Source organism: Homo sapiens, chromosome 14 (assembly GCF_000001405.40).
Source record: "Homo sapiens chromosome 14, GRCh38.p14 Primary Assembly".
Lineage (NCBI taxonomy): Eukaryota > Metazoa > Chordata > Mammalia > Primates > Hominidae > Homo > Homo sapiens.
In genome coordinates, this window is record NC_000014.9 from 22,077,264 (window position 1) to 22,102,390 (window position 25,127).

The 25,127-nt window shown below is 36.9% G+C and overlaps 2 gene segments (V, D, J or C) and 1 further gene, besides 10 other annotated features; all 3 read left to right on the top strand.

Annotated features, from left to right (window-relative positions):
* TRA (T cell receptor alpha locus) overlaps positions 1 to 25,127 on the top strand; it is a 930,229-nt gene that overhangs the window by 455,360 nt on the left and 449,742 nt on the right.
* Positions 9,189 to 9,240: a sequence feature (TRAV23DV6 leader sequence).
* On the top strand, positions 9,189 to 9,698 carry TRAV23DV6 (T cell receptor alpha variable 23/delta variable 6). The segment is given in 2 exon segments: positions 9,189 to 9,240; positions 9,387 to 9,698. Coding segments are annotated over 2 exon segments (364 nt in total), but the record flags the coding sequence as incomplete, so codon positions are not given.
* Positions 9,387 to 9,394: a sequence feature (TRAV23DV6 leader sequence).
* Positions 9,706 to 9,728: a recombination feature (spacer).
* Positions 9,729 to 9,737: a recombination feature (nonamer).
* Positions 18,787 to 18,835: a sequence feature (TRDV1 leader sequence).
* Positions 18,787 to 19,356, top strand: TRDV1 (T cell receptor delta variable 1). The segment is given in 2 exon segments: positions 18,787 to 18,835; positions 19,059 to 19,356. Coding segments are annotated over 2 exon segments (347 nt in total), but the record flags the coding sequence as incomplete, so codon positions are not given.
* Positions 19,059 to 19,069: a sequence feature (TRDV1 leader sequence).
* Positions 19,364 to 19,386: a recombination feature (spacer).
* Positions 19,387 to 19,395: a recombination feature (nonamer).
* Positions 23,029 to 23,323: an enhancer, noted in NCBI's record as "tiled region #3554; HepG2 Activating DNase matched - State 12:CtcfO". NCBI's record gives its function as "activates a minimal TATA promoter and a strong SV40 promoter by Sharpr-MPRA in HepG2 cells {active_cell/tissue: HepG2}" and the evidence as "EXISTENCE:reporter gene assay evidence [ECO:0000049][PMID:27701403]".
* Positions 23,029 to 23,323: a silencer, noted in NCBI's record as "tiled region #3554; K562 Repressive non-DNase unmatched - State 12:CtcfO". NCBI's record gives its function as "represses a minimal TATA promoter and a strong SV40 promoter by Sharpr-MPRA in K562 cells {active_cell/tissue: K562}" and the evidence as "EXISTENCE:reporter gene assay evidence [ECO:0000049][PMID:27701403]".

Genomic DNA, 25,127 nt, shown 5'->3' on the forward strand with positions numbered 1-25,127 from the left:
AGGACTTCTGCAATACAAAATTGAGGAAGATGAGAATTGTTGGCAGACTGTCCCTCCCAGGCAGATATCGTAGCTCAACACTGGAATCTGAGGGAAGAAGGAGCCCTGTATTCTTGGTTGCTCCCACCCGAAGTAGAGTTTCTATTATGCTGAGCTCTGTGTGGTGGGGGAAGTAGTAGTCATGGCTCAAATTCCAAGGATTTTGTTCTTATGGTGATTTAGTAAATTTTCCTGAATAGATAATTCTCCATTTGCTATATACCCAGGACAATTTCCAGAGACTTAAGTTTTTAAAATAATTTTTACCAATTAATAGTGTTTTGTTACTAATTAGGGAGAGTAACCATGAACCTCCTCATATTGCAATTCTGAAAGTCACAGCCTCCCATTCATGATGTTATCACATAGAACAGGCCTAAACAGAAGATAATCAGAAGTTCAACTTTTCTTTGACTTTCTCCATTGAGAAATAAAGGTGAAGCTGCCATCTTGTTTTGATCCTAAACCTGCCACAGAGATAATTATTCAAACACGTCATGTATCACCATCATAAAATAAGCATGTATTCTGAGAGTATTAAAGATGAAAAACAGGAACACTATATTTTCTTAAATCATAGTTTTTGTAGGAAGGATGGAGTGAGGTAGAATAAACAAGTCTAGGATTGCCTAGTTTGAATAATTTCGGTGGGCTCTGAGGCCAGGACTATCCCTAGTTGCCTGGTACCTGGCCATGGGATGCTTAGGGCAGGGGGAATAGTGGATGGAGTGTAGGAGCCTAGTGACAGCCTGATAAAGGAGGTGCTTGGAGTATGGGCTCTATATCGGTTGGTTTGCATTTGAAAGATGTGCTCCCAAGTGAGTCTTTACTATCTCTAGGAATTAGCCAGAGATGGTTAAGGCCCTTAGATGTCAAAACATTTGGGTAAAAAGATGTGGTTGATACACCAACACTGTTGGAATATGAGACTTCTCTATGCCTCACTTTCCTTTGGATACTCTTGTTCATTCATATTTTTTCTTTACTTAAAGTTAGGTACTCTGACTTTGCCTATTATGTTCCTTTTATGATTAATAATAACTTGCCTAAGTCTAGTCTTTACTAGAGACAACAATCATCAACTTAATTCACTCAACTCTCCAAAGCTAATGTTATTACAGCCAATTTGAAAAGTGATAAAAGGGTATGGTACACTAACACTACCAATAGTGATAGTCTTTGTAGGCAATCCATAGGTGAAAAAAGTCCTTACATTACAAAAAGTATAACATATGATGGTCATTATTTGTCAAGAATGAATTCCATTTGAGTTCCATTCAAAATGGAATTTTCATTTCATACCTACAGCTACTGGGAACTGTTTTCTGTTTGGGAATCAGTCTCTTCATGGCCAAAACAGAGCCAAGGCCAATCCTTCTGTAGGTCTATTCATTAGGCTATTTTAAGGGCATGACCCCCAACAATCCTCAGTGGAGCACATTATTTTACAAAAATCATAAAGCAACGAAAATCTTTCTGAAGAAAAACTCCTGAGGGTAGTGACACCATCCATATCATTAAACAATTTGCAGTGGTTATCAAAAAGTATTTTCTCACATTAGCTAATACAATAAATATAGTAGTATATCCAAAATCTTGGAATCACAGCAAGCCAGTTAAAATTTCTTAATCCAAAGGCCTATGTGTAGTAGAATAGTCACATATTTTTGTGGGGCCAATCAGGAAGTGATCTTTGTCATTGCTAATACTTCATGTTGACTCTACGTTAATACTGAAGATGAGTAAAAACACTTTTAGCATAGATAGATGATAGATAGATAGATAGGTAGATAGATAGATAGATAGACAGACAGATAGGTAGATAGATACATAGATGAGACATAGATAAAAAGCAACCTAGTTGTGTAAGATAGACTCAGAAAATCATTTGGACTTTTTTTTTTTAATCAAGTCTGGGAAATCTTGGATCATGGTTGCAAAATATCTTACCCTTTTTATAATATTTAATACTTCAGATTTGTTCATTTGTTGCATGGCTCTGTTGGTATTCTAAATATCACTGTCCCCACAAATGGTTGAACAAGTAATCCAAAGACAAAAATTCAATAAAAGTCATGCTTTTAAATATACAAACTAAAAATCAAATCTCTACAGGCCAAAACTCTTTGTCAAGAAAATCGACAATAGTGGAGAAGACCTGGACAGTTCTTGAACATCTTTTCTGCAGCTTTGGCTGCATAAGGACCAAAAGGGGATGGGGGGTGGGGAGAGGGGAGGAAAATAAAATTATTCCCATAGATTTAGGAAAAGATAGATTGTTACACAGCCATAATAAGTAGCCACCAGAACCAGTTTTATACCTGTTCAACTGATTAACAACTCGTCTCAATGAACATGCTTTTGCAAGCCAACTAATCAATGTCAGCTCCTGGCTTCTGAAAGTCAGCCAGTCAGTGCCCCTGAGTGCCAAGCAATCAGCAATAGCCTCACCCTAGTGACTCTGTTTCTGCAGATAATGTTAACTCATTTACACCTCTGAAGTTTGCCAATCCCTGAATTCCATGCTTCCCCAAAACCCAGTATAAATCAGCTGTCTGTTGTGCTCAGCAAGATTGTGTCTGATTTTCATAGGTCTCCTTTGCTATTATTTCCAATAAATGCACATGGTCTTTGTATTTCACACATTGAGTAGTGTCAAATCCTTCGACAGCTGCCAAAGTATATTTTCTTGTGGGACATTTGGACTTGGACAACTTTTCTTACTATTTTTCTTCAATGCTCAAAACAAACCTAACATAAAGGATATTTATTCTTGTTTGAAATGATATTCAGCATCAGCAGAAATAGTTAACATGCTATCAGAACTTATAAAATCAACATTTAGTATTATAAGAAAATGAATCTCTCTGCAGATCATTCCAGCCAGAATAGTGATGTTTATTGCTTTGTACATCATTGAAGTCACTGATTCCAAAATCAGCTATTTCAAAGCAGTTGTGGATTACATTTAGGGTGATTGTGTCCCACATAGCATAGCAACAAGATTCTTCACTGCTATCAAAAATATTCCATTAAAAAATCTATACTAGAAATATTTCTTCTTATTTTACATAATATACTAAGTGCATAAAACTTTTAGGTAATTAATTATGCCTTCATCTAAAAACCGCATATATATTATGGTACTAGAGGACAAAAAAAGATATTGCAAATACTGAAATAAGTCCCCAGTTCCTTTGGGCAGCACGTTTATCAAAACAGATTTTATCTATTTTGGCAAGCTATTCTCCTCTCTAATTGTAGGAACCATCTCCCAAACAATCTTCCAACATCAGTGGATTTAACTTTAAATATACATATAGGAGATATGTGTATATATAGGGGATTTTCAAATTTTTCTACAAATGGTCTTACTTATTAGTCTCAGCATTGTAGCACAGTCAGACTTCCTCTTAATGAATGTATATATGTACATATGTATGCATAATATATGTCTGTGTATATATTTTTCCTTGAGAAAAATGCTTTTCACCAAGAACTAACATCTGGCTTGGCTGAAGATTATAGAAGAGCCCCATCTTATAATTATTAATTATGCCCATATGCACATGCTTATCCTGAATAGATCTGCTGATTTCAAGCCAAATATTAGTAGCCAAAAGAGTTTCTGCAGATGCTGTATATTTTAGAGTAATGGCATAATGTTCTGACAATGCCAGCAATTGACCTATATCTCCATTCAAAATGTAATTGTATTAATCTTTTATTTAGAAAAATGATTCAGATCTAATTTTTTTCACTCTAGATTAGTAAAGCAATCTAAGAATTTCGTTTTATAAATTAACCTTTTGTTTCCCCTCTCATTCTTTTTACCTTCCTTGGCAGGCTGTTTTTCTATTCTGTTCTGGTTTTTAAGATACATACATACACACACACACACACACACACACACACACACACACACACAGATGTACCTTGGAGATAATGTAGGTAGGGTTCCAGATCACCATAGTAAAGTGAATATCACAATAAAGTAAGGCATATATTTTTTTTAGTTTCCTGGCACACATAAAGGTTTAAAGTATACTGCAGTCTGTTAAATATGCAATAGCATTATGTATAAAAGTGTACATACCTCGACTTAAAAATGCTTTATTGCTAACAAATGCTAATTATCATCTCAGGCTTCAGAAAGTTGTTACTTGTTTTGCAAATGTAGGGTCTTGCCTCAATGTTGGTGGCTGATCAGGGTGGTGGTTGCTAAAAGTTGAAATGTCTGTGGCAATTTCTTACAATAAGATAAAAATGAAGTTTGCCACATCAATTGACTCTTACTTTCATGAAAGGTTTCCCTGTAGCATGCAACACTGTTTGATAGCATTTTACTCAAAGTAGAACTTTTTTCAAAATTGGAGTCAGGATAAAAAGAAGGAGGTTAATGGTTACAGAAATACAGTTAGAAGAAACAAATTCTACTATTTGATAGTACAGTAGGGAAATTATGGTTAACAATAATTTACTGTATATTTCAAAATAACTAGAAGAAGAGAATTGTAATGTTCCCCAAAACAAAGAAAAGAAAAATGTTTCAAATAGTGGATATCCCAATAACCCTGATTTGATCATTGTACATTGTATACATGTATCAAAATATCACAAATGCCCCAAAATACATACAACTATAATAAATTGATTTCAAAATCTTTATTTTTTTTTTTTGAGACGGAGTTTCGTTCTTGTTGCCCAGGCTGGAGGGCAATGGTACAATTTCGGCTCACAGCAGCCTCCGCCTCCTGGGTTCAGCCGCCTGGGTTCAAGCGATTCTCCTGCCTCAGGCTCCCGAGTAGCTGAGTTTACAGGCATGTGCCACCACGCCCAGCTAATTTTGTATTTTTAGTAGAGACGGGGTTTCTCCATGTTGGTCAGGCTGATCTGGAACTCCAGACCTCAGGTGATCCGCCCACCTCAGCCTCCCAAAGTGCTAGGATTACAGGCGTGAGCCACTGCGCCCAGCCTAATTTCAAAATCTTTTTAAAACTACTAAGAAAATTTTTAAAAAAATGGAAGTTAATCATCTCAAATCCTGCCACTGCTTTATCAACTAAGTTTATGTAATAATCTAAATCCTTTGTTGTCATTTCAATAATGTTTACAGCATCTTCACCAGAAGTAGATTCCATCTTAAGAAAGCAATTTCTGTGCTTATCCATAAAAAGCAATTTATCATTTGTTAAAGTTTTATCATGAGATTGTAGCAATTCAGTCACATCTTCAGGCTCCACTTCTAATTCTAGTTCTCCTACTATTTTTAACACATCTGCAGTTACTTTCTCCACTAAAGTCTTGAACTTCTTGAAGTCATACATTTGGATTGGAATCATCTTCTTCCAAATTCTGACAACATTGATATTTTGACCTCCTCTTATGAATCATGAATATTCTTAATGTCATCTAGAGTATGAATCCTTTCCAGAAGCTTTTCAATTTACTTTGCCCAGATCCATTAAAATACAAGCACGTTTTATTTTATTGCATCTATTTCTTGAAAACTTTTTTAACCCATTGAATTGTCTTGAAAATTAATTGAATATGAATTTGTGAATCTATTTCTATTTTGTTTCTTTGATCTACAAATTTTATTTTCACAAATACCAAACTGTTTTGATTACTGTTCTTTATAATGTCTTGAGATCAGGCAGGGTGAGTCCTTCAATTGTGTTCCCTTTAAAAATTGTTTTAGTGGCCGGGCGCGGTGGCTCACGCCTGTAATCCCAGCACTTTGTAAGGCCGAGGCGGGCGGATCACGAGGTCAGGAGATCGAGACCATCCTGGCTAACGCGGTGAAACCCCGTCTCTACTAAAAAATACAAAAAATTAGCCGGGCGTGGTGGCGGGCGCCTGTAGTCCCAGCTACTCGGGAGGCTGAGGCAGGAGAATGGCGTGAACCCAGGAGGCGGAGCTTGCAGTGAGCCGAGATCGCGCCACTGCACTCCAGCCTGGGCGACAGAGCGAGACTAGGTCTCGAAAAAAAAAAAATTGTTTTAGTTATTCATTAAGGTTTATTTTTTGCATTTCCATATAAATTTTAGAATTAGTTGGTCTATTTCTATAAAAAGGCCTGCTAAAATTTTGAGTGATATTGCATTGCACTTACAGAAAATTGGGGGTAGAACTGCCATCTGGAAGCTATTAAATCCTCTAATTCATGAACATGACATATCTGTCAATTTATTAAGGTTCTTTAATTTTTGTCAGCATTGTTTTTGGACTTTTCAGTGCAGAGGTCATGGACATCTTTAAGAAAACATAAAGGCCATTGACTTGAAGAAACTATTTGAAACATGTAAATTATTCCAAAGTCTTGTGTACAGCATATGTAAAAAGCTCTTACAACTCAATAAAAGAGAAGAAATAGCCCAATTTAAGAATTAACAAAATATTTTCGTAGAATCTTCACAATAAAAAAATAAAAATGACCAATAAACACAGGAAAAGATGCTCTACATCAGGAGTCAACAAAATATGGCCCATGAGCCAAATTCAGCCATCCACCTATTTTCATAAAGCTTTATTTAAACACAGAGATGCTTGGGTTTTTTTAGTGTGTTATCAATGGCTTCTTTCATGCTGCAACGGTAGAACTGAGTAGTTGCCATTGAGACTGAATCACCTGCAAGGCTTAAAATACTTACTATTCAACCCTTTATAGAAAAAGTCTACTGACTCTTATGTCGTTAATAATCAGGGAAGTGCAAGTTAATACTGTAATAAAATATATAGCCACTATATGGAGCATATATGCTATATAATATATATGCTATATATATGTTATATAATATATATGCTCTTTATATATGCTATATATATGCTCCTATATAGCCACTATGTTGGCTAAAAGTGAAAAAATGACTACTATACCAAGTGTTGACAAAGATGAAGTGTAATTAACTAAGTTAGATCTATTTAAGGACATATTCTCTTTAGTGCGAAGACTTCTCCCCGACCTGATGTTGCCATTATGTGAGGAAGGAGATCCCATGAAGTGACTCCATCTGACGGCCAGTTTCTGCCTCTGAAGGAACCCCAGAGCAGTTGCGGTGTCACTGTTTCAGTAGCCCTGTTCTCTCCTGGTACCTCCAGCATCCCAATCAATTCCTCCAGATCCGCCTGAGACATACCTGACCTCAGCAAGGACAAAAATCTCCTTTCATCTGAAGAAATCATTGGCTCAAGAGGAGGACTGAGCCACTTATTTCAGTGTTCTGATAGATGTAGGGGTTGCTGAACCGTTTTAAGAAGCTGTAGGAAATTGTTTGATGTAAACTCCCTATATGGCCACAAGGGGGCAATGCTTCTTCAAAGAAGATTAACATTTGTCCAAATACACATATTCAGCAATTAGCCAGAGATTATCCTTTTAAAATAGTAAATTATCTCCTACTCTGTTTCAATTCACGTGTCTCTTTCATTCAATGCATCTATGCATTTATCCATTCATCTACCTAACTAGTATCTGTATTTATTCTAGTCTAACAGAGTGGAAAACATCACTTTGGAAGTCAACACTTTTTTGAATTATACATGTTATCCTTCAAGCCCACATTAACTTCTGTAGTATAACTTTACAAGGTTTTCACCCACATACAGCCCAATATCCAGTCACACTAATCTGTGCCTAAAATTCCCTTATCCATTCTTTTTATGGGGAAATCTATCATGGTTTGTGGCCCAGTTCAAGCATCTCCCCATCCGTACTCTTCTTTGACTGGGTCCAGAAACAGATTTCATCACCCTTTCCTTCGTCACATCATCTAGACACACTGGTGTCTTTGGCAGGTTCCATTGGCTGATACCTGAGTCTTGGGACTAGGTTGACTGAAGACTTGGACTGTGTCTCTTTCGTGAATGAAATGAGGCCCAAGTACTGCCTAATTTAGTAGGCACTTTGTGGACAGTATATATGTATTGAATATATGCATATATAAATTAAAAGAAAAGAAAGCACATCAAAACTTAAACAACTTTTAAAAAGCACCTTAGGGTACTGGGGAAGAAAAGGTTTGGATTGTAGATTGAGGAACGTGGACCATTGTCTCCTATTGGACTGCGATGGTGTTTTCTTTGAGTGGATTTGAGATGACACCAAATATAAATACAAAAAAATCATTTTTGTGCTTCTGAAAAAAATGTGCTTCTCATGTTATTTTAACTTATATGACTTATAATACAGATCATCCCTATTTCAGGGGTGCTTTAGAATTTATCTTCAATTTCTCCCTTGTATCTTGCCTGTGTTAATATCAAAAGTTAAATTTATTCTTTATATTTTCATAGTTGATCGATTTTGAAGTGTGAATAAAATATCGAATGTTTATTCAAACTCAGGATAAGAGCCACCAAAAATGACTGCATTACGGATGGTTATAGATCTATATCTTCTGCAGAATTTTTCTATCCTCTCTTTCCATTTAAAGATCACAGCTCCTCCAGAACAGATAATTCCAGTATTTCCTATTTTCTTTTTCTAGGTACATTTAAAAAAATATTTAATTTACCTAATGTGTAATTTAGAAAAAAATATGGAGAAAAAATAAAATTGACTTAATTGTATTATATCATTTCTGAGGATCATCTAAAATATGGAATGAATACATCTGAAAAATTGCAACAAAATTTAAGTTCTCTGAGGACAAAGGGACCATATATTCTCTATGTTCTGATTCATGACCTTAGCTTGTAATGGGGTATTATGCCCATTGTGTGCCCTCAATAAACTTTATTAATACTCACAATAAAAAAGAAATGCCACTGTACATGTTAATCGTGCGGTTTCACAAGAGTTCCTCTCTTCTACCATTGTAAAATAAGGCCCTTTCTATTGACATATCCAGCCATCTTAAAGGTCTGAGGAAAAGTTGAGGGGGCTTGACAGACAGAAATTCTAAACTGATGCTTATCTGTGTGTAAAGAAAGGATTACTGATTCCCAATGAATATATCTTCAGCAATTCTAAATTTGGACAAAGTGGGGAAGTGCTTCCTTTGACAGAGACAGCTTTAAGTGAAAGCACTTGTGAAAGGGCGGGGCCTGCTGAAAGAATTCAGTTGAGGGTGAATTTACAGAGTTTCAGCTGGTTGGGAAGACTGGAAGACCACCTGGGCTGTCATTGAGCTCTGGTGCCAGGAGGAATGGACAAGATCTTAGGAGCATCATTTTTAGTTCTGTGGCTTCAACTATGCTGTGAGTTATGGAAGAGAAACTCCAGGATATGTTACTAACTTGGGTGAATGAGAAAATTGGGGTACAGACAAACTCATGCAGGTAGACACTTTAAGAAGAAAATATTATTTTGGGGCCTAATGACATTTTGTTATCTCTCTAAGCAGGGGTGAGTGGCCAACAGAAGGAGAAAAGTGACCAGCAGCAGGTGAAACAAAGTCCTCAATCTTTGATAGTCCAGAAAGGAGGGATTTCAATTATAAACTGTGCTTATGAGAACACTGCGTTTGACTACTTTCCATGGTACCAACAATTCCCTGGGAAAGGCCCTGCATTATTGATAGCCATACGTCCAGATGTGAGTGAAAAGAAAGAAGGAAGATTCACAATCTCCTTCAATAAAAGTGCCAAGCAGTTCTCATCGCATATCATGGATTCCCAGCCTGGAGACTCAGCCACCTACTTCTGTGCAGCAAGCACACAGTGCTCCCCAGGCACCTGAAGCCTGTACCCAAACCTGCAGTTGAGGTTCCAGCCAAACCCCACAGTGGGAGCTTACGTAGGCAGAGATGTAGCCTAGTTTTCATCTGCATATGCAAGTGATAAATAAATGTATAAACACTAGTGTGGCAGTATGAGAATGGTAATTAAAGAAAAGAAACTTAGCTTAATAAATGACCATCTCTAACAAATGTTTTATTATAGTTACAGTATTTGAAATTGTTACAAGCATCCAGCCAGTTTTGGGGCAACTGGGAATTTTATGCCTTGCTGATGGGATGCAAATCAGTATTATGACACTGGAAAATCATTTGCCAGTTTCTTATAAATTGCTCTTAACATAGGACCAGAAATTCCACTCCTAAGTATTTATCTATAATAAATGAAAATATATCTTCACACAAGACTTTTGTTTACAGCAGTTTTAACCATAATAGCCCCAAGCTGGAAACAACCCAAATGTCCATTAGCTGGGGAATAGAAAAATAAATTGTGGACTATTCCTATAATGGAATACTACAGAGCAATAAAATGCAATAAGCTAGTGATACAGGTAACACATGACGGATCTCAGAACTTTATGCTTCATTGAGTGAATGGTTAAATATACTGTGGCACATACCCACATAATGGAATATGATTCATCAATAAAAAACATGAATTATTGATGCATGCAACAACTTTGATGAATCTCAAGGGCATTATGTTGAGTGAACAAAAGTCAATCTCAAAGGCTATATAATGTGTGATTTCCCTTATATAACACTATCAATATGTAAAAATTACAGGACAGTGGTTGCCAGAAGTTATGGGTGGGGAGTGTGTATATAGGGAGTTTATTTAGGGTGATGGATGGAATAGTTCTGTATCCTGATTGTAGTTGTTAGGGAAATCTATACATATGATAAAATGTCACAGAAGTATATATCAAAAAAAGAGTGCATATAAAAATGGGTGAATCCAATAGCAAAGACTTGGAACCAACCCAAATGTCCAACAATAGACTGGATTAAGAAAATGTGGCACATATACACCATGGAATACTATGCAGCCATAAAAAATGAAGAGTTCATGTCCTTTGTAGGAACATGGATGAAACTGGAAACCATCATTCTCAGCAAACTATCGCAAGGACAAAAAACCAAACACCGCATGTTCTCACTCATAGGTGGGAATAGAACAATGAGAACACATGGACACAGGAAGGGGAACATCACACACCAGGGCCTGTTGTGGGGTGGGGGATGGGGGAGGGAAACCATTAGGAGATATACCTAATGCTAAATGATGAGTTAATGGGTGCAGCACACCAACATGGCACATGTATACACATGTAACAAACCTGCACATTGTGCACGTGTACCCTAAAACTTAAAGTATAATAATAATAATAATAAAAGTTCTTTAAGCAAAAAAAAAAAGGGTGAATCAGAATAAGATCTGTAGTTTAATAAATACTATTGTATCAATATCAATTTTCTGGTTTTGATACTAGTACATAATGATAATGGTACATAGCTATGGTTATGTAAAATGTTATCATTAGAGAATGCTGGGTGAAATGTGCAAGAGAACTCTGCGTTATTTTTGCAACTTCTACGTGAGTCTAAAATTATTTCAAAATAAAAAGTAAGGATGTAGAAAAAAGATTTTTAACAAACATTTACAAATTTTTGGAATATAAAATTTTGGAATGTGGAATTTTAGAACATGGTTGGAACATAAACTGGGCAACCACTTTGGTGGATTTTCATAAAACTAAATGCGTTTCTACCACAACCCAGTGACTCACATCTAGGCATTTACCCAAGAAAAATAAAAATGTGTCAACACAAAGACTTGTACAAGAATGTTCACAACAGTTTTATTCATAATAGCCATCAATTTGAGAAAACACCCATAAACAAGATACTAAATCAATAAATTTTTGTGTCACACACATTCAATGGAATATTAATCAGCAATAAAATGGCCTGAACCACTGATACACATAACAGTACAAACAAGCCTAGATTATATAATGCCTAGCAAAATTGCCAAATACAAAAGGGTATATACTGTTTGATTCAAGTTATGTGAATTTCTAAAGTAGACAAATTAATCCACGGTGAAATAAAGCCAAACAGTGATTACATCTGTGAGTGGGAATTATTTGGGTGGAGCACAATGAATTTTTATAAGCTAAAGGAAAAGAAATGTTCTATTTCATGATAGGGGTGTGGTTTACAAGGCTGTTTGCAATTTTCAAAACTCATCTAACTCCATACTTATGACTTGTTTATTTCACTATATCAATTATACTTCAATTAAAAATAAACTACAGAAATTAATCAAATAGGAAACAAAAACAAAACAATTAGGGGAAAATCCAATGCCGAATAAATTTGAAGAAATAAAAGAGTTAAATACTCGATAATGTTGATAATGAGGAAAATAGAAAATAGTTAAACAATGCAGTACGCTGAATTCTGGCCCCCAAAGATGTCCATGTCAAAAACCCCAGAGTCTATGAATATGCTGCTTCACATGGTATATTAGTTTTCTAGGGCTGCAGTAACAAAGTACCGTGGACTGGGTGGCTTAGGACAACAGAAATTTACTGTCTCCTGGTTCTAGTGGCCAAAAGTCTGGAACCAAGGTGTTGCAGAGCCATGCTCCTTCTGGGGCGCTAGGGAAGATTTGTTTCAGACCTCGTTCCGAGTATCTGATGGTCACAAGCATCCCTTAGCTTAGAGATGGTCATGTCCTCCCTGTGTCTCCTCCCATCATCTTTCCTCTGTTTGTGTCTCTGTCTCTTCACGTGACATTCTTTTCATAAGGGCACCAGTCTTATTGGACTAAGGGCCCGCACTACTCCAGTAGGATCTCATTTCAACTTAACTAATGACATTGGCAATGACCCTATTTCCAAAAAAGTTCACATTCTAAGCTTCTAGAGGTTAGAACTTCAACATATGAATTTTCTGGGGATACAATTTAACCGAATAACATATAGTGAAAGGAACTTTACATATATGATTAATTCAAAAATCTTGAAATGAGAAGATTTATCCTCAATTATCCAGGCAGACCCAGTGGAATCACAAGGATCTCTATAAAAGGGAGGCAGTAGACTTGGAATGAAAGAAAGCAATGTGATGAGAGAATGAGAACAGCCTCGAAGTTGGAAAAGGCAAAAAAAAAAAAAAAAAGAAAAAAGACAGATTATTCCCCATAGCCACCAGAAGGAACTCAGACCTGCTGGTACCTTGACTTTAGTCCAGTGAAACTGATTTTGGATTTAAGATCTCCAGAATTGCAAAATAATAAATGTGTGCTGTTTTAAGCCACTGATTTTGTGGTAATTTCTTATAGCCACAATAGGAGACTAATAAATTCAATAATAGGAGAGATTAAAAAGGAGACATGTCTGGAGATAAAGTAGAAATTAAAAAAAAATTAGCATAAGTTAAGTACAATTTAAGCCAATAAATTTTAAAACTTTAAAAAGTAGAAACAATTTGAATGAAAAACATATACTACCAAAAGTAACTCAAGAAGAAATAGAAAAACTAAGTAGATTTATAACCATTAAATTATTTGATAATTGGAAATGAAAATCCCTAAAGATTTAGTAATAGAAGGGAAATTTTTAACCTGCATGTGCGCCCACTACAAAATTAAAAACAAGACACATGCTGGATGCATCTGTAAATAATATAACCAATAAGATTTTAGAAATTAAGGTTAGATGGGGAACTCTTACAAATAAATAAGAAAACATTCAAAATAAGAAGAGACAAGGATATAAAAGGCAATTCAAAAAGAAGAAATAGGAATGGCCACTAAATATGTAAAACATCAACTTCCACAGAACTCGAGGAAATCAAATTAAAATAAATTATTGTTTCATTTCTATTTGATCAACAAAATCTAAAATATCTGGTAACATTAAGTATTGGTAGGAATACATGGAGATGAAGCTGTTACACTTTTCCAGATGAAGAAAAACACCACACAGAGAATTTAGGATAACAATTTGCCTAAACTAGTTATGAATTTGCACATATCTAATAATCCAGCAATACAAATTTCTGATATCTACATAAAGGTAGTCAAAATGTAAACTAGGAGGCATTTACAAGGATGCTCACTGCAACCCTCTTTAAAAATAAGTATAATCACAAGAAAAAAACAACCCCATCAATAAGTGGGCGAAGGACATGAACAGACACTTCTCAAGACATTTATGCAGCCTACAGACACATGAAAAAATGCTCATCATCACTGGCCATCAGAGAAATGCAAATCAAAACCACAATGAGATACCATCTCACACCAGTTAGAATGGCAATCATTAAAAAGTCAGGACCACTTTTACACTGTTAGTGGGAGTGTAAACTAGTTCAACCATTGTGGAAGACAGTGTGGCGATTCCTCAAGGATCTAGAACTAGAAATACCATTTGACCCAGCCATCCCATTACTGGGTATATACCCAAAGGATTATAAATCATGCTGCTATAAAGACACATGCACACGTATGTTTATTGCGGCACTATTCACAATAGCAAAGACTTGGAACCAACCCAAATGTCCATCAATGATAGACTGGATTAAGAAAATGTGGCACATATACACCATGGAATACTATGCAGCCATACAAATGAAGAGTTCATGTCCTTTGTAGGGATGTGGATGAAGCTGGAAACCAACATTCTCAGCAAACTATCGCAAGGACAGAAAACCAAACACCACGTGTTCTGACTCATAGGTGGGAATTGAACAATGAGAACGCATGGACACAGGAAGGGGAACATCACACACCGGGGCCTGTTGTGGGGTGAGGGGAGCGGGGAGGGATAGCATTTGGAGATATACCTAATGTAAATGACGAGTTAATGGGTGCAGACACCAACATGGTATATGTATACATATGTAACAAACCTGCACGTTGTGCACATGTATCCTAGAACTTAAAGTATAATAAAAAAAATACAATACATTCATTAAAAAAAAGTATAATCAATAGTGGAATAAAAAATAGTGGTTTAGTCATACAATGGAAGTATTAGCCATTACAAGCAAAGAAGTGGTTCTATACATATTTTCTTAGATGAATCTTACAAATAAAATGTTGGATGTAAAAGCAGAATGATACATACTGCATGGCACCATTAATAAGAAATCTTAAAATACAAAATAATGCAGTATATTGTTTTGTAATACATACCTGTAATGGTTAAATTCTTTTTTTTTTTGAGACGGCATCTTGCTCTGTCGCCCAGGCTGGAGTGCAGTGGCACGATCTCGGCTCACTGCAAGCTCCCTCTCCTGGATTCACGCCATTCTCCTGTCTCAGCCTCCGGAGTAGCTGGGACTAAAGGGAGCGCCACCACGCCCGGCTAATTTTTGTGTGTGTGTGTTTTTAGTAGAGACGGGGTCTCACCATGTTAGACAGGATGGTCTCGATACCCTGACCTCGTGATCTGCCCACATCGGCCTCCCAAAGTGCTGGGATTACAGGCGTCAGCCACCGTGCCCGGCCTGTAAGGGTTAAATTTTAAAAGACATGCGTGGAAACTTCCCAAGAGTGGTTACTATCTTTGAAAGAATAAAAGGAACAAGGACTATTGTTCTAGCTTTGTCTGAAATGTTTGAGAAAATCTGAAATGTAGAGAGAGAAAGAATATTTTTAGAAAACATAGCAAAATTCATCATCTGTTTATGTGTTTATTCTCATTGCTGGATACGAAGGTGCCTGCTATATAATTTTCTGTACTTTTGCTCATGATAATTATTTCATAAATTTAAAAAATAATTTTTAAATGGATAGCGACAATCATAGTTTTTACTATCTTCACCAGTCCACAGAAGAGAATAGCACCTTCATTACCTACAACTTTGCCAGATGTATTTCTGGTAGGCCACATAAATGGCAATAAAACATCAATTGGAAAAAATCTCTAATTTATGAATAAAAGGATGTTCAACCTGAAATAAACAACCCAAGACTCTTTCCCCTGAACCACAATGCATACATTTTCAATATATTAAAAAGAGGATGTGGAAAAAAAATCCAATTAGTTACCTCTTAGCAATGGGAGATGTGGCCACAAAATGTCAGCATTTTGTGAATATTAACTCCCCTGGGCTCTCAAAGTTTATTTTACTTCCTTTTTTAGCAGTTTGAAAAATCGAAGAAGAAATTGGAATAGTATTTATGTCTGATTAGAGTGGCTTTCATTGGACTGAAATATTCAAGAATAAAGTAGAATACAGTGCCTAGGATGAATTCGTGGTCAGCATGAGAAGAGGGCTGTTGTCAAGTATATGAGAGAGAGGAAGAAATGGGAAGAGCTGGGAGTCTCAACAGTGATTCTGTGGCTTCATACAGATGTGAGTTTGGGGATTTCTACAAAGAACCAGGAAGAGTCTGAGGACAGTTTGCCACAGAATCACTCAACTATTCCCATTTGGATTTCTTTATGGGGCAGTCCAACAAAAATACAGCTTTTGGAATTTGGTGCTTTGACATAAACTGCTCTATCAGATGAAGTTTCAGCATAAAGTGGAAAAGAATCTTCATTCTTTCAATGTCCAAAGAGGGAAATATTTTTATTTTGGACATTTATACTATTAATAGTTTTGAATATTTTTACTGATAAAGCAGCATTTTGTGAGAAGCCTTGTCTTCCTGATAATTATTAAAAATTATAGAATTGCACCAAACAGTACACATGCACTCATGGCAACAGCATAGCTAAAGATTTGAATTCAGAGGGCCCATGGATTCTCCCATCCTAGAACTTCAAATAAAATTAAGCATAGAGTTATAGTAGAAATAATAGGCCTTTGCCGTTACTATTGACAGTAGAACACACAACTGGAGAAAATACAGAACCTGGGAGTCTTTTTTTTTTAATCTCATTTGTCTGAGCTGTTGCTTTGCCATTGTGAAGTTCCAATTCCCTTGGTTTGATGGGTAAGTAGGAAGGACGGGAGGTGATGACTTCTGGTTTGTCTCCTGTGTCAAAGCCAAGGATTGGTGAGCAGCTTCACCTTTGACTCAGGTTGGTAGCAAGTGAACAATCAAAACATGAATGTATATTTGTAATCAAAGCCATGATTCATAATAAATTGGTTTCAGATAAGCCCCTCAGATTTATCACAGATCAATTTCCTAAACTTGGAAATTTTAAATGACTAATCTCCTTTTAAGAATTCCTTCAATATTGTTTCATGCATGTCCTTTACCAGATATAATCCTTTGTCATTTGTTAATTAAATTATAAGAAAGGGCAAAACGATGTTTAGGATAGAACCAATTTCCCAGCCTAGGGATTATCATAGCACATTCACACTTGACCCACCCAGAAACCACATTTCAGAGGCAGCTTCCATACAGAACTGAGGGACCCTGCACCTGTACTGTCAGGGTACAGAGCAGGGCTATTTCAACAGGAAGGAAATCCTGCCATCATACTGCTTCCCAGTCTACTGTGAGTATTCATGGTCTCCATCTACTTAGGTACAAATAATTGCAAACCAGAGCATGGATACCTCTCAGCACTCAGAGGTGAAACGGGACTAAGGAGTAGATGTCTCAAACAATGAGAAACTATTCCCTGCACCACTCAGTGATATGCTATTTTGACCTTTATAAAAGAACTGGAAATGTTTTAGAGACCTTGTCTGCACTTTCTTTCTTAGCTATCTCTTGGTCCCTTTATATTAATTCGTCCATTAAGTTAGTGAAACTAGAGGCTGGGTTCACACATATAATCCCAGCACTTTGGGAAGCCAAGATAAGGTCACTTGAGGCCAGGAGTTTGAGACCAGTCTGGGCAACGTAGAGAGACTCCATCTCTACAAAGTAAAATAAAAATTTAGCCAGGCCTGGTAGCTCGCAACTGGAGTCCTAGCCATTTGGGAGGCTGCGGTGACAAAATTACTTGAGCCTAGGAGTTCCAGGCTGCAGTGAGTTCTGATTGTGCCACTGCACTTCAGTCTGGGTGACAAAGAGAGACCCCCAACTCTAAAATAAAAATTTTTCTATTTAAATTTTTAAAAAAGACAATGAAATCACATGGAAGATTAACATCTAAATTCCATACAATCACGTAACAGCATACAAAAAATTCAGCCACCAACTTCTGTGGTATTGACATGCACAAAGTTCTTGCAACCTTCAGATAACACGTTCTGTGGGAGTATATTATAGCATTGTATCATTTGCATCACAGAGAGATCTTGTATGCTTATCATGACAAACAATGTCTTATGCTTATCATTAAAAATTTTAAAAATGCCCAGCCACAGAATGTAACAAGTGAGACTGAATACTTTGGATCAATGGGATAGAAAATGTGATATCAGGACAATTCTAGGACACATGATCTAAGAAGTATAATTCTACTTGTGAAGGCAACAGGACTGAATATACTGATCCTCCTCAGTCTAGTAAATAAAACTTAGTGTCAGATTTTGAAATGATTACATTTTATTGCTGTTATAATTTCATAAAGAGATAAAAAACTGAGCAGCTTCTGAAAGTCGAGAAGGACTGATTTTTATCATTTGATTTTGAAGTAGCTTTACTTATTATAGAACTTAACTAGGGCCCTAGACCTCAGTAAGGAGGAAGAAAGAGATGCAGTAATTGTTTAGAATAGGACTGCCTTTCACAGAGAAAGTCAAATATCTGAGTATTTTTCTTTTAAATTTAATTAGTTTCTGATGGCAAAAAGTAAATATATGCTAAATGAATAATATCAATGTATGTCAACTGGTTCAACTGCAGTTCCCCTCAATACAAATTGCTTTTCTTATATCCCTTTTCTAGGTTCTGTCTATCCTAATGACTAGGGAAAGACAACTAGACAAAGTAAAGATTCAGGGGTGAGCCAGACATTTTTCCTCATCTGTGCATAGCCATGTAGTCTATGAACATGAGACTCAATTTCCTGTTTGGGGAGATAGCATCAGAACCCAGGAACTACATATACACACCGCAGGGCCCTGGTAGGCACTGAACTTTGAGCTTCAGGCAGCACAACTCACATTTGTGCAAAGAGCTACATGCCACATGCTGTTCTCCAGCCTGCTGTGTGTATTTGTGGCCTTCAGCTACTCTGGTATGGATGGTTCCAAGTGTGAGTAAAAATGTTAAGGATGGAAGGATTCCAAACAGGCATATGGTATTTCTCATGGACTTGAGGAGGAAAGGAGAAATTGTAAAAAAGCGAGCATATTATGATTTTAGTTTGGTTTGTCTCTGGGTCCTAAATTAGTCTAGCTCTTACGATATTTTATTCACTATATCAAAGGATCAGCTCTGTTTTCTGATTTTTCCCACAGGATCAAGTGTGGCCCAGAAGGTTACTCAAGCCCAGTCATCAGTATCCATGCCAGTGAGGAAAGCAGTCACCCTGAACTGCCTGTATGAAACAAGTTGGTGGTCATATTATATTTTTTGGTACAAGCAACTTCCCAGCAAAGAGATGATTTTCCTTATTCGCCAGGGTTCTGATGAACAGAATGCAAAAAGTGGTCGCTATTCTGTCAACTTCAAGAAAGCAGCGAAATCCGTCGCCTTAACCATTTCAGCCTTACAGCTAGAAGATTCAGCAAAGTACTTTTGTGCTCTTGGGGAACTCACAGTGTTTGAAGTGATAGTAAAAGCAAAACAAAAACCCTAGGGCTCAATAAGAGAACCCCTCTACTCCCCATCCTTTGCTACAGGAGCCAATCTGAAATGCACACCTGCAGATCTCAGGCAAGAGAGGGTAGTGACTGTGGTCTGTGGATTTAATCTGTGGTCTGGATCAGATGATTTAATTCCAAGTAAAACCTCCTTCTATCTCACTTGGAAACAGGTGTTCAGAGCAACTTTCTTCTAATACTTCAATTTTTACTTAAAATAGATCATACAGAAAATGTGTAAAGTTGTCTAAAGTTGGAAAGACTTCCACATAATAACTTAAAGTGGCAGTCTCACTTAACGATGCTCACAGCAGAAATCTGGGTCTAGTTATCTTGAATCACCATAAAAATCATTTCCTTAGCCCTTTCCTCTTAAGCTTTATGTCAGTTAGGATACAATCAGGGAAGCAGAACCATCGTGAAAGATGTAGAATAAGATTAATTATAAGGATTAGACCTCATGCAATTGCTGGAACGGGTGGCTCTCGGAAGTTACTTAGTTGTTTATGTTTTTATGAAATTGTAACAGGAATAAAATGTAATCTTTTCAAAATCTGACACTGAGTTTTATGTACTAGGCTGAAGAGGATCAGGACATTCAGTCCTATTGGCTTCACAAGTAGAATAGTACTTCTTAGATCATGTGTCCTAGAATTCTCCTGATACCACATTTCTATCCCATTAATCCAAACTATTCAGTCTCACTTGTTAAATTCTGTGGCTGGGCATGTTTTTCATGTGTAAAATAAAGTCGTGATAAGCATGCCAGATTTCTGTGATACGATGCCATAATCTGCTCTTACTCCTATGCAAAGCTGTTTGCTGAATTTACTCTAGGTCAGCTAGACTCACATTTGGGAAGGAGAGTTGAACATGGACAAGAGCATGCAAAAGCTGTGATTTGTAAAGACATTTTGGAACCCATGGTGACAGGTGGAACCCACGAGGACAAACTAAAACTTGTCTGTCTCTTACCTCCTTCAATCTCATAGTGTTGGTGACCTTCAGAAGAAATGGTGTTATTTGCTATCATGCTCCCTGGGTACTTGGCCCAAGAAAAAGAGAAGCTGAAAGAGGAGATCTGGGGGGAGTGGGGGAGTTGTGAATCAACAATAAGATGAGTTAGCAGATCAGAGCAACATATGTGAGTTGCCACAGTGCCTGGAGCCTGGCACCTGCCTTACACAATTTTTTTCAACTTAATCGAGAACAATATAGGGAAGGATTTTCTTAGAAATATATTTCCAGGTAGTTACGACGAGACAGTACAAAGTTACCACAATACCCCCACCTTGTAAACTTGACATCCATATGCACCTCTTTTAATAGCACTTAGCTTTCAAATAAAGGCAATTTTAAAAAGCATACTTCCTGCCAATATGATGCCACTGTTCTTCATTCAACCACACATACCCTAACCCTCTCCCCTAAAGAGAATACAAAGTATTTATTCATCTTTGGGTGATGTTCTTTCCTCTTCTAGCTGAGTCACACTCTCCCATTGATATCCTGTAGTTTAGCTTCTGAGATATAACAAGCTATAAGAGTAACTTATTAACATATCTTTCACTATTATGTATAGGCAAATGGGAGGAGAGTAAAAAATGGTTGACATGTATTTTAATATTTTCATATCACAATGAAAAAGAAATGTTTATAACAGTATAGTCTTTTTTTCCACAAATGGTCACATGATTGTAGCTGGTTTCTATAACTACCTCTTCCATTACCCATTTCATAATCTGTTTTCAGCAAGCACCTCAACTCACTGGTACACTTGACTTTCTATAAAACAAGCTCCTTGGTCAGGAGCAATGTTATACAGAATGCCATAAAGTTGAGTAAGGAATTCTCTAAGCCCACCACTGTGGTTTTGCCAGAAGCACTGCAGATGTGGAAGGAAAGTCCATATTCAGAATGTCTAAGTGGACTAAAACAAAGCAAAACTTGCCAGCAGCCAGAGAAAGTTGATATATCATGATATATCATGATATATCATGTCTTTAAGAATGATTGCTGAATTCTCATCAAAATCAACAGAAGCCAAAGAGGAAAAAGTATTTTTAGAGTACTTACAAAACAAACAAACAAACAAACAAACAAAAAAACTCTCTAGCTAGCTTCCTATGAACATGAAAGTCTAATTTTAAACCCTTTGTCAAAAATCATTGTTAAAAAGGTGGAAAGTCAGTGCACAGATTGGGAAATTATATTTGCATTGGTGTATTTCTGAAAAAGATTCAAATGCAGAATATATAAAAAACTTGTACAAGTCAACAAGCAATGAGAAAACAATACAAATGGCCAAAACTTGAAGAGACACTTCAGAAATATGATATCTAATAGTAATAAGCATACACAAAAAGCACTTAATATAATTACTCATTAGGAAAATGAAAATGAAACCCCATTGAGTGATCCCCCTGTGCCCTTTCAGCACCCCAGTTGTATTAATGTAGCCAGGAGGAAATGACCACAAGAGGATAATGAAAAATAGTGACTACTTCCAGGGGAAGGGATGGCCAAGTAGGTTTTCTAGAAACTTCTGTTAAATTAAGTTTAGCCTAAAGCTGCCTCCTTATTTATTTAAAACTCAGGGCAAAGGTTTCTCCATACATAGGGCCCTGTAACCTAACAGGATGCATAAACAGGCTACAGTCTGCTCTCTACCAATCCCTAAGTTTCGGCCATAGGTGGCCAACTGTTCAAACATGTTCAAATAAGGCAAATGCCAAGCTTTAACCAATCCATCTGTTTCTGTACCTTACTTCCTTTTTCTATAAGTCACTTTACTTTCTCTGTCCATAAATATTCTTTGACCATGTGGCAGTGACAGAGTCTCTCTGAACCTGTTCTGGTCTGGTGGGGGGCTGCCTGAATCTCTAATCGTTCTTTGCTTAATTAAACTCTGTAAAATTTAATTCGTCTAAAGTTTTTCTTTTAACATGTCCATCATTGAACCATGTTCAGTGGAAGAAGAAAAAGCAGTAACAGGCTAAAGACCGGAACACTGAAGGAAAGCAGGTTTTACTAGGAAAAAAGAAAGTTGGTATTCATTGGCCATACTATATGTCAGGCACTATTTATACATTTCAAATTCATTACCTAATTTAAGCATCATACACCCTACGAGATAGGTTTTAGTCTTCCAATTTTTTATATTTGGGAAATGAGACACAGCTTTCCCTAACTTTGAAAAGCATCTCTAACTAAAGTCAGCCAGGGTGTAACATCTTAGAGGGCTCCTAAAAAATCAAAGTTTGGACTATGGAGAAGCAAATAGCCACAAAGCAGCAGCATTGGCTTTCTCAGTGAGGATGACAAGATGACAAACCTAGGCACAAATTGCCTCAGGATCAACAGATGGAGGAAATCACCGACTAAGTATTTAAGAGTGCTGAATGTATCAGTGAGTCTCTTCTACAGTAGTGTGCTATGAAGCACAAGAGGCTAGAGGGAAAGATGAGATACTATTCCTTAAACACTCCAAGCGGGCTTCCATATCAAGGCCTTTGCCCACTCTGCCTGCAATGCTATACCCCCACAAAACCTCATGGTGTAGCTCTGAACTCCTCTACGTCTTTACGCAAAAGTCACCACTTTGTGAAGCCTTTATCGAAATCTTTCTATTGTATATTCCTTCTTTGAGAATCAGGCTCTAGCGTATTCCACGTGTTGAGAACTAAAGCACCAAGTTCTGAAGCACTGCCACCTGGTGTCCCGCTGAACTATTTGGTGAGGTTTACGCTGGCTTCCCTGCTGCCCTCCAGTGTTCACGGGCTAAGCTGTGATGAAGCCTGGTTGCAATAGGAGCTAGCATTTCTGAACCAGTCAGTAACCTTCCCATGGTAGTAATCATGTGAGACAGGATTCAGCAGGACTGGCTGAGACTTTTTTTTTTCTTTGAAGGAAGCAATTTTTATCCCTTACGCAGCTTGTCCCTGCTACTGTGTCTTGTCTCCATTGCCTGGATCCAGACCTCACAAGTTATTTATGTATTTATGTATTTATTTATTTATTTATTTATTCCAAGGCAGAAGAATTTTTCTTAGTACAGAACAAAATGGAGTCTCCTATGTCTACTTCTTTCTACACAGACACAGTAACAATCTGTTCTCTCTTTCTTTTCCCCACATTTCCCCCTTTTCTTTTCTACAAAACCGCCATCGTCATCACTGCCCGTTCTCGATGGTCGCTGTCTCTTCGGAGCTGTTGGGTACACCTCCCAGACGGGGCGGCCGGGCAGAGGCACTCACTTCCTAGACGGGGCGGCCGGGCAGAGGCGCTGGCTGGGACTTTTTTAAATTTCATTTTTAAAATATTTTTCCCTTAATATGTGAGGTTGATTGATTTCAAAATGGCAAATATAATATATGGGATGGTTTAAGCTAATAGAATACCTTGGAAACAAAGGTTGGCATTATTGCACAAGGTGGGAAGTTTTTCTCTATTAAGTGAGAGTTCATCTACTGCTCTGTCCCTTACTGTAGTATAGAAATATCCTAAGAAGTGAGAACAAGAGTCAATGATGGAGAGAAATAAGCCATTGTAGGGAACACAGTGCAGCATACTCTCTCCATGTTATCATATGCTGCCCAACCTCCCAATATAGCATCATAACGCCACTGATTTCCCACTAACAGTAAGAAACATGATAGAACATGGATATGTATTATAGTACATAAAATATGCTATGCAAATTGCAAAATGCCCCTCGGAAAAATACTGAATTTTATCTTGTGGATAGACTGCACTGCAATTTCAGATACAGTCTCCCAACCCCCCAATATTTTCTATATTGAATGCATCTGGTTGAGTGCCTAAGATACAGAAGTTATTGTATTAGATGATTTATTCGGTTGGTGTAAAAGTAATTTCTGCTTTTTCCATTACTTATAATGTAATGGCATAACCATTATATAGGCTTGGATTGCATTTCTGGACCTACCACTCATTGGTTGAATTATCTTGAGCAAATTACTTAATAACTTTTATGCTTCAGTCTCCTTATCCCTACAATGTGGATATTGATAGTACTTACTACAAAGGGTTATTTTGAGAAATAAACAAAATGACAAATGCCAATGCTTAGCCCAGTACCAACAAAAAGCTACTGGTTACTTACAGAAAAGGAAATTGAATATGAGAGAGATTAAATGTCTTGCCTAGCATCACAAAGTGTCAGAGTTGAGCCTTCCCTCCATGCCTTATGTAGAGCAGATACCTTTTCTCACCCCAAGAATAACTCTCTATCTCATTACAGTGCTATATTGTCTTTATAGAGCTTATCACCGTATAGAATTATCTTATTTTGTAAAAACTCATTTATTTAACTTCTTCTCATTGCACTCTAGTCCCTTTTCTATCTCTTCACCACCATGTTCTCCATGCCTGGAACAATGCCTAGCACACAGGAGACACAAACAATACATGTTTGTTGAATGAATGCACAAAAGGTAAAATTATGTCCAGAGTCCTTGCAATTCAAATATTAATATAACAGTTTAAGCTGGATTAATCTTTGTGTTATTTATCCAGAATTGTCAAGATTTATATCCTGTAAGTTTCTTAACGTAATATTTAAATATGTAAAGGCTAAATAGTTGAATACTAGCTTTGGTTTATCTACATTGGTTTATTTTTGCACTTTGGGGGAATTAATAAATAATCTTACTAAAAATTTTATCTATAAATCCCTCACTTTACTCACTGTGGATATGAGGT